At 34.6% G+C, this 10,139-nt stretch overlaps 1 long non-coding RNA gene across 2 annotated transcripts in view, besides 1 other annotated feature; it reads right to left on the bottom strand.

Moving 5' to 3' along the window:
- The window catches only part of LOC105374557 (uncharacterized), a 485,690-nt gene that overhangs the window by 242,274 nt on the left and 233,277 nt on the right, over nucleotides 1-10,139 (bottom strand). The window lies entirely within an intron of this gene.
- Nucleotides 8,333-9,532: an enhancer, noted in NCBI's record as "MED14-independent group 3 enhancer chr4:28353016-28354215 (GRCh37/hg19 assembly coordinates)". NCBI's record gives its function as "activates an origin of replication core promoter dependent on BRD2, BRD4, P300/CBP and CDK7 cofactors, and independent of MED14, by STARR-seq in HCT116 cells {active_cell/tissue: HCT116}" and the evidence as "EXISTENCE:reporter gene assay evidence [ECO:0000049][PMID:35650434]".

Genomic DNA, 10,139 nt, shown 5'->3' with positions numbered 1-10,139 from the left:
GGCTACACTACTTGAGTCATCTTATCACCAAGTAGCTTCTAGTTACATAAAGGAAAGCAGAACTGAGAGCAGTAGAGAGATCCGATCCTGGTACACTTGGGAGGACATCTGGATGACATGGTAACTTAAGCTAAATAAACTCTTAGGCTCTCAACATTTTTTGTTAGTTTTGTTGGCTGTTTTGCTTAAGCCAGTCTACAGTCTAGATTGCATTTGCTTACACTTTCAACCAAAAATTACCAAATGTACATACATCTTTCTAAAATATTATTTCATTATTTTTGTTACCATTCTATGTGTAAAATCTATGACGTACAGATTACTATGTATAGTTTGACAAGAATCACTTATTTACTTTTGCTATTCTTTTCTTTTATGTGCTTTATTTCTGTAACAAATGGTCCCTTAGTCTGCCAGAATTCAGATCAGATGTTAAATCTTTATTTTTGCTTCAGTTACCAGTAAGGATCACTCCTCTCCACTTCCCTATTACCTTTTATTTATATTAATTAATTAATTATATTGTATACACCTGATAGTAAGATTAATGTATTCATCTTTTAACTTTCACAATTAGTATAGTGGCTAGTATACAGTAGAAACTTTATTAATATTATTGAATTAACTGAATTGAATTTTTCCCCAAGTTAATAAAACTTCAGGCTGGCTACTTAAACATAATTATAATTTTTACAACAAGGGCAGCAATGTCTCAAATGTTTAACCATGCCTGAAACTTTGTGTTCAGTTCTGGTACAGTCCTTTTGAAGGAACAGAATGGATAATAACAAATTTAAATATTTCTATAAGAAAGTATCAGGCTGAATTATTCAAATTCGTGTATTTAAAGCAATTGAAGAAGCTTGTGATGTCTATTCTGATGTTTGTTTTTAATATTTGAAGAATTGTGCATCCAACTAGAAACAACACTAAAGCCTGTGGTAGAAATTATAGGGGATTAGGAGTATATGCAAGGTACATTGGGCAAATAGAAATATACACTCGGCATCTTCACATACTGTAAAAGTATCATGTTCTTTTAAAAGCTACCAAAGACAGAAGAGAAGGTTAAAGTAGAGGACTTCTAAAGTCTGTCAAATATTCTAGAATATTTAATTTAATAATAGGTGGCAAATACAATTGACCTATAAACAGGAGACAAAGATAATGTTAAAATCATAACCATCACATAGATCTGAACCCATTTAAAAATTTTTTTCAAACATTGTTGTTTCATTGACTAATTAGTGAATGACATCTGAATGATCACAAATATTTTCCAGCTTAAGATTTATATCTCTTCTCAAATTTCCCTTAATCTTAATTAATATTCTACATAGATGAACAGTCTAAAATCAAATTAGGGAAATAAATGTAAACCTGAAAATGTTTATATATATATAGATAAATGAAAGCAAAATACTAGCATGTAAATTAAAAGGTTAAATTTCTGGGATAAAAATAAAACCTTTTTCATTTTAATGTATTAAAAATAATTCCATAATTAGTAATTGAAGGAACATTTTTCTATTATCTCTTTAATTTATTTTTGTCTCCAATTGGAGGTATATCCTTTGAAAATTGTTTCCTTTATATTTTAATAAGAGCAATGCAAATGTCGTTAACACTGACTGTGGTGTTTTAAAACAATGGAAAATTTTGCATTAATTTTATGAGGGAAGATAATAAGAGGCTATAATAAATCATATATAAATCATATAAGATTTTAACCAAAGAAACTGAGAAACATACATTTTAGGAAGATTAAAATGATACATATTGTTTCAAGTAATTATTATGAAGTTTTAAATAAACATTGTAGAACAAGATTGGGTACGTTGATTTAGATTAGAAAGTTACATAATTCTTAGCTTCATTGGAAAAGAGTCTCCTAATAGAGATACCTTGCAAGCAAAATGTTCATTTTAAAAGTTGATACTTAACAGTAGTTCTTTGAGGGGTTTATATACAAATGTGGTCAGAAGGAACCAACTACTACTTTTAGCAATTTTGTACAAGTTTCTGCACCATAAATAGTTTAAGAACGAAGTTAAAATTAGAACTTGGATGGATTTTTTGCCTTATTCAACATTTGATCTAGAAGAGGGAATACAGCTTGCCAATAATTCTAATCTCTCCCACATGTTGAAATATCAAGTCAACCGTGACCCATTTAAAAATCAACTTTAAAATCTCACTATTAGTGTGAATGGGTAGACATGTGTCAAATAATAGACAGACACATAAAGTTATAATTTGAGGCTAATAATTCAAATCATCCTTGTACAAGAATAAAATCTGAGGGAACCAATTTGACACTTTCTATCCCCTCCACTCCTTGCTGACAACAATAATGAATTTTAAAATCTTTAAAAATAATTCACTTGCATTATTGGGCCAATATGGTGATTTGGTCTAAAAGGACAATATGTTATCATACCTCACTAGGAAAGATATAGGAAACAAACAGATCTATAATAATTATAAGAATAAGCAGTATCTTCTTTATGCCAGACTAGTAAACATTCCACATACATTAAATCCCCTAGAAAATTCATGGAGTTGTTTTATTTTTTATTCTTTAACGTATCTGGGGAAATGGGACTCTGTTAGTTAAAAGCAGTGATTCTCAGTCAAGGTTGATTTTGCTCCTCGGGGAACCTTTGGCAAATAAGTCTGGAGACAGTTTTGGCTGTCAAGAGTGCTGGTGGTGGGGGATGGCTGCTACTGGCATCTAGTGGGCAGAAGCAAGGGATGCTGCTGAACATCCTACAAAGCCTTAAGACAGTCCCTATCTCAACAAAATATGATCCAGCCCAGAGTGACATCAATAGTGCTGATTTCTAAAAACTCTGGCTAATAAATGTGTCCCTAAAACTTGTCCGGCAACCCTTAAGCTTTGCATTGAGAGTTGTTCCACTTCGTACTTCATTCCTGTCCATACAGAGAAAAGTTTTAGAGATCAGTAAAGGGTTGAAGAGACTTCAACATAAAGCAGGCCAATATAGGAAGAAAGTATTAGTAAAGGAAGAAAGTGAAAGAGACATTCTTTCATTTTATTTTATCTCATGAATTAAACATATAAAATATAAAAATATAAACATATAAATATAAACATATAAAATATAAAAATATTGAATTAAATAACAATACCTGGAACCTATTTTTGAAATCATTTAGTTAGGTAGATGCAAAAAAAAAAAAAAAAGACATAAAGCAGAACAGAGCAAAGTATAATCAAATTGTAATAAGTATAAGCAAAGTGTAATAAGTGTAAATACTTGAAGTTTTAAGTAGAAAGAACACATATTTGTCTGGCAAAAATCAAAGCGACCTTGTAAAGAAACTTATATTTTTTTTTGACCATTTTATTTTATTTTTTAATAGAGACAGGGTCTCACTGTGTTGCCCAGGATAGTCTCAAGCTCTTGCCCTCAAGCCATCTACCCTCCTTGGCCTCCCAAAGTGTTGGTATTACAGGCATGAGCCACTGTGCCCAGCTGAAATTTTTCCTTGATCTTACTGAATAGGTGAATTTGTAGTAGAAAATGAAAGTGTCTATTTGGACACTTTACTTGCTCTGTATTTTCTTTCTTTATCTCTTCCCTCTTCAGGTCTCTCTTCCTTCCCTCTCCTCCTTTCCCATCTCCTTCTTTGCCCATCTCTCCTGCTGTCTCTTTCCATTTCCATTTATTTGCTTTCCTTTCCTTCTTTGCTTTCTTCAACAAGCATATATTGAATTCTTGACATTTCCTACTCCAGATAAAAATTGAAGGACATGGCCCTAAAAAACTTTCACTCAACTGGAGCATCATAATTATTAAAAAGTAATTAGAAAATAATGTTGAAAGTATCATAAAAGAGAAATAATACAATGCAAATAATGTGCCATTTGGGGGGTAACAGAAAGAGGGGTTAACTAGTCTGAGAAGAAAAGAGTGAGGAATGTTTTCTGGGAGACGTAAATTTTGAATCATGTGAAAAGGGAGAAGTGGATGAGGAAGAAAGGTAAATCAATGAAAGCCTGGAAGGAAGTAGGTAAGGTTCTGTTTTAATGGCCTTCCATTCTCTTATTGCAAAGATAGCATCTATATCCTTTAGATCTTTGCTCTAAAATTCTATCTCAAGAAAGTTTTCCTGATTTCTCTGACTTAATCTCACTCTTTTGTAATTGGCCTATAGAAATACCACTATGTTCCGCCAGGTGCAGTGGCTCACGACTGTAATCCCAGCACTTTGGGAGGCCGAGGCGGGTGGATCACGAGGTCAGGAGTTCAAGACCAGCCTGGCCAAGATGGTGAAACCTGGTATCTACTAAATATACAAAATATTAGCAGGGCGAGGTGGCAGGCACCTGTAATCCCAGCTACTCAAGAGGCTGAGGCAGGAGAATCGCTGGAACTCAGAGGGCAGAGGTTGCAGTGAGCTGAGATCACGCCACTATACTCCAGCCTGGATGACAGAGTGACGCTCCGTCTCAGGAAAAAAAAAAAAAAAAAGAAATAGCACTGTGTTCCCTTCTTTTATGCCTGTTGTCACAGTTGTGATTTTATTTGTATTTATATGATTATTCAATTAATATCTGTCTCCCCATCAGACTGTAAGAATCACAGTATCAGAGACTAGGTCCAATTTTTCTTACCCAATATAGACCACAGCAATTTCAGCAGAGTAGCTGAACAATAAATATTCATAGGAAAAAAGAGATACATAAAATAATGAGGTAAGACACAGAAGAATATTACTGGAGTAATAAGTACTTTCTACAGCATGGCAAATTTTGATTTGCAGGAGAATAATAATACCAATTAGGAAAGGTTCTTTTTTGTCTTGCTAAAGTGCTTGAAGCCTTATTCTATAAGGAATGGGAAAACACGGAAATACTTCAACCAGCACTGGGAATTTGCAATCATATTTCCCCTTAAATAACTTACTTAAACAACAATGTAAAGGATGTAGTCAGGATGTAGGTAAAAATGGGGGATAGTTATGAAAATATTGTAGTCTAGGGCTGAAACAGTAAGTTTCTTAGTAGAACTGTGGCATAATGTTAATAAGAAAGAATCAGTTTCAGAATTTGGGCTTAGAAACAAAAGGTAAATTAGAGCCAGATTATGAATAACTTTTTGCATAGCATCTAATGATACAATTCAAGTCGGAAAACAATTTCATTTTCTTTTCCCTGAGTATCTGTTATCCTTCCCAAATGATCCTGATGCCATTGTGTATGGTGTAGATCATTATGTGTGTACTATCCTTTTGATATTTCTTCTTTTGAGATAATTTATGACAAATCTATCAATGCATTGTTGTGCTCTAAATAAAATATATTCCTCAAGCATACAGTCAGATCCTGTCTTTATAAATGATGTTGCAAGAAAAAGCTAACTACATGATGTATCTTCAGAGTCTTAAGACAAATTATTGTGGTGGATTAGATCTTAAAATGGAATCATAAATTATAGGCAGCACTAAACATTATAAGGTTTAATGATGAGCTTTGCTGTAACTCTCATCTGAGACAAATGTTGCCATAAAATTCTAAATCAGCATTTAATGAATTGACAGAAGCTGGAGAATATGAGTTGGTGCTAAGGTGGGAAAGAATACAGACATGTAAAAAGAACTTAGGTTAGAATTTAAAATCTGTGCCTCCTCCATTCAACCTTCTGGGCACTGAGAGGCTCTCAAATTACCTCTCTCTAAGATATATAAAAGGTTCTGAGGCTGAGGCTTGATCTGTGCAAGAACTAGCCTCTCATTTTTTGATGCTCCAAATGAGACAAAGAATTAGTAGCTGAAGCATCTGTTCCTGCACATGCTGAACAATGGATAAATTCTGTCTTTAGTGAAGTGGCAGACAGAGCAGAGTGATCCGGAAATGTAAATCACCAAAAGGATTTTCCCTGGAGTGTTAATAACAGGTCAGTAATTACTCTGAAAAGGAAGGAGGCAGATAGAACTCTATTGAGAGTCCAACCCTCCCTGTTTTACACCCACTATGTTTTCTTTGGGGAAAAGTAATTTAATTTCAATGGGAAAATATATTTTCTGGCTACAATCTCTATTAAATGTTTAATTAAAGTTAATAGAAAGTCTCCATTTAAAAAAGCAATTAAACACTAGAACACTAGAAAGTGTTTTTCCCCCTTTTGATTTTTACTCTGTTGGAAACAACAGTGTAATCATTGTCCTCAATGTTAGAAAAAATTCCAAACGGAAATATATTACTCATGTCATTTTCCAAAGCTTAGTTTATATGTGAGAAGGAAATAACTCATTTTTAAGATAATACAGAACACAATTATTTATGACAATTTTTCATTGGGAAATAAAGAAACTATACTGGTGATTACTTAGATTGTTATTCGTTTTCAATATTGTTCATATAAAGGCATTACCTAGCCAGAAAAACTTGATCTGGTTCAGATGGCAAAATATAAGCAAAAGTATTTCATCGTGGAAAGTGCTGAGCAAGCCAGACTTCAAAAGATAATGAGTATCTGGGACCTTCTTAAATATTAAATTAACATCTTTTCCTTTTGACAGTGCTGGGAGAAAATCTACACATTCAGTCTTCTAGACTTCTGAGTATATTTAGAAATTCATAAAGAGAGATTCAATGGCCTGAATGTGTCCTTACACCTCTCAAACTGCAAGGGATATAATGGAAATAGTAACATGCTTTCTTTTCTTTTTTTTTTGAGACGGAGTATCGCTCTGTTGCCCAGGCTGGAGTGCAGTGGCATGATCTCAGCTCACGGCAACCTCTGCCTCCTGGGTTCAAGTGATTCTCCTGCCTCAGCCTCCTAAGTAGTTGGGATTACAGGTGCACACCATCAGGCTTAGCTAATTTTTGTATTTTCAGTAGGGATGGAGTTTCACCACACTGGCCAGGCTGGTCTCAAACTCCTGACCTCAAATGATCAGCCCTCCTCAGCCTCCCAAAGTTCTGGGATTACAGGTGTGAGCCACCTTGTCTAGCAAGTGACATGCTTTCTTAAAAACTCTCTACTCCACTCTAAGAATCCATACAAAAAGGACTATGTCTGTGTTATTCATCTTTGAGTCACCAACACCCAGTACAGTGCTTCTTACATAGTAGAAACTCAATAAAATATTGTTAAATAAAGAAATGTATTTTTCCCATGTTTCATGTTTAAAAAATGGATTTTACACAGTGACGTAACATGAGTATGTGTGTGTGTGTGTTTAAAGCAATATTATCTCTATTGACTCTGTTATTCATTTTGTCTTTCCTAAAATCACAGTATGTTACTGTGATTTCCAGAAAAAAGATGGAGAAATAAATTCATGTCTGTAGTACAGACAGAAATAGTCTTACTAAAATAACTGGAGGAAAAGAGTGGCATAGGTGTTATAAGCAATCATTCTTATTTTGATTTTGGCATTTACACTTCAGTTTAGTGCATGTGGTAGTGGAGTAACAGAGGAAAAAGCAATATAGTGAAAAGAAGGTGTGAATATTGTGCTGTTCAGCTTACTATCTTTTCTTTCAGTTAACCTATTCCTCTGTACCTTACATGCTAGAAATTGACTGGGCCACATTGCAAAATTAGGAAGTGAACTTACATTTTGCAAAAAACTTTCAAACTTCCATTTCTCTAGAATAGAGATAATTAAGTGGACTTTCTTGTCCTTCTACTCTTAAATTGGACTAAACCAAGAAACTTGTTCTGTTAGCAGAATTTTTAATTGAGGGACATATTTTTCAATCTAGTAAGAATGTGAAAACAAGATGTAAATGACAAAAGGCAAACTGTGGAAGGTGGAAAAAGAGGATACAAATGAGGAAGTGAAGGAAATTGGATTACAAAGGCGGATATCCAGGCATCTAGAAGTTGAAGTAAGGAAAGGTAAAAAAGAAATCATCATTCTCAGTAAACTATGGCAAGAACAAAAAACCAAACACCGCATATTCTCACTCATAGGTGGGAATTGAACAATCAGAACACATGGACACAGGAAGGGGAACATCACACTCTGGGGACTGTTGTGGGGTGGGGGAAGGGGGGAGGGATAGCATTAGGAGATATACCTAATGCTAAATGATGAGTTAATGGGTGCAGGACACCAGCATGGTACATGTATACGTATGTAACTAACCTGCACATCGTGCACATGTACCCTAAAACTTAAAGTATAATAATAATAAAATTTTAAAAAAGTTTGAGGAAGAAGAGGGAAAAGAGAAAACGTAAACTATAATAGAAATAGAAATACAGAGACTCATTTTTAAAGAAGCAGAATACTTTTGTTTATATTTTTAAAAAAGATAAACTCCAAAAGGAAATATATAAGAGAAACGTAAGTTGTATTTTGCAAAATCTGAAATGGAAAGGTGTACTTTTAAGTCCCAATGATAATTTTTATCTTAAAGAAGAGCTCCAAAAGCAGAAAGTACTTGAGTTCTCTCTTTTCTTTATGCATCACGTACAGTTTCATGCAATTCTTGTTGACACACTTCCTAACCATATCCCACTTTTTTTCGCTTTTCTGTCTCCATTATTACCATACTGCAGCAATCCTGTTCTATTATCTTCCTAATGAGCTATAGCCTTCTAACTAGACCTCTTACATTCCCTTTTAATTCTATACAATCTAATCTAATCTTGATATAGTCACTACTAGATCTTTGTAATTATAAAATATATTAAATCACTCCTTTACTTAAAACAATGCAACAGTCTTGCCAATGGAATGCAATGTAGCAGTCTCTGGTTGCCTGAGGTAGTACCCAGCATCCTTTGATTCAGGACCAAGAAAGTTAAGGAGCATGGGCACTAAGGATGAGGTTGGAATGAAAGTGTAATAAGCAAAAGAAGAAATACTCCATGTTACTTTGTTCCCCTTACTGTGCATGTGTCAGAGGATGGAATTTTCCATTGCAGGCATGTCTGGGCAAGTCTCTTGTGTAGCTTTTCTCATCTGTGCGACAGTAGGCATGTCTTTGGCAAGACCCCCAACCCTCCACCCCACCCCGCCCCTCGCTCAAGTTCCCTGCAGGCTGTTCTTTTGTTTGAAAGATTTCAACCAAGGACCCTCACTAACTGCCTGCCTGACCGGTTTCTTCCTTTCTCCACTCTCAACAATTTGATGATTTTCTATCACACTAAAAGGAAGTCAAAACTCTTCAACTTGGCTTATAAAGCTTCATGGATTGCAAATTTTTTAAATAATCATTTTTTCTCCCCTGTAAGAGTATGATATTTCTGTTCTTACCATGCCTCCCTGGAGAGGAAGTATTCTTACTTATGCCTTTGCCTTTGCTAGGCTTACACATTCATATTTTATTGAATAAAGAAGTCACAGCCCATCCTTAGGCATGTAAGCACACATGATATGCAAGAAGAAAGTATAGCATCTACCACTGTCTCTTCATTCAATCCAGTCCCAGTCCACTCATATGAAAGCCTAAATACCAAAAGATCTGTAGTATCCATATTCATAAGATTCAGGCAACATAAATTAATGCTTCTTTGGGATGGACATTGCAAAGTGCACCTTAGGACAAAAGTCTACTATTCTCTTTGCTTTTATAAAGGCTTTGTTCTGTGGAGAGCTTCAGTACACTACTGGTCACAATGACAGCATAGGTGATGTCAGTGGAGTGTACAGGCCATATTTAACAGGCCAAGAGAGAAAATAGCAAGTTCAGAAGCAAAAGATTAGTATGCCCATGGGCATTAGCAGCCCAGGCTTCTCACACACCTTGGATTGTTGAAACAGGTTAGGAGAAAAATGACAAAAGGTCGTAACATCTGACTTCACTATTTAAAAGTGGAAAAACCCTGATAAACTCCCTGAAGTGTGTGATTTTTTTTTTATATGAAGGGACCCAAATCACAGAAAAATTATTTGCTACAATAAGTGAGACTAAATTATTTACCATGAGATGGGTAATAATATAAACCTTTAAACCCTACCTGTTTGAATATATATCATGATTTCTACTAACTGCAACTTCACCTAAATCAGGTCAGATCAGGTGTTTACTAAATTTCAACAGCAGAATAATTCTATTTTGCATTTTTGCAATGTGGTAAAGGTTATATTAAATTTTACTTTAGCATTGAAAATAAATGGGCTGCTCTGATTATTTTACACAAGAGTCTGAA

This window comes from Homo sapiens, chromosome 4 (genome assembly GCF_000001405.40).
Source record: "Homo sapiens chromosome 4, GRCh38.p14 Primary Assembly".
In the NCBI taxonomy this organism is placed as follows: Eukaryota; Metazoa; Chordata; class Mammalia; order Primates; family Hominidae; genus Homo; species Homo sapiens.
The sequence above is the reverse complement of the archived record's forward strand: the minus strand, read 5'-3'. Positions and strand labels throughout refer to the sequence as shown.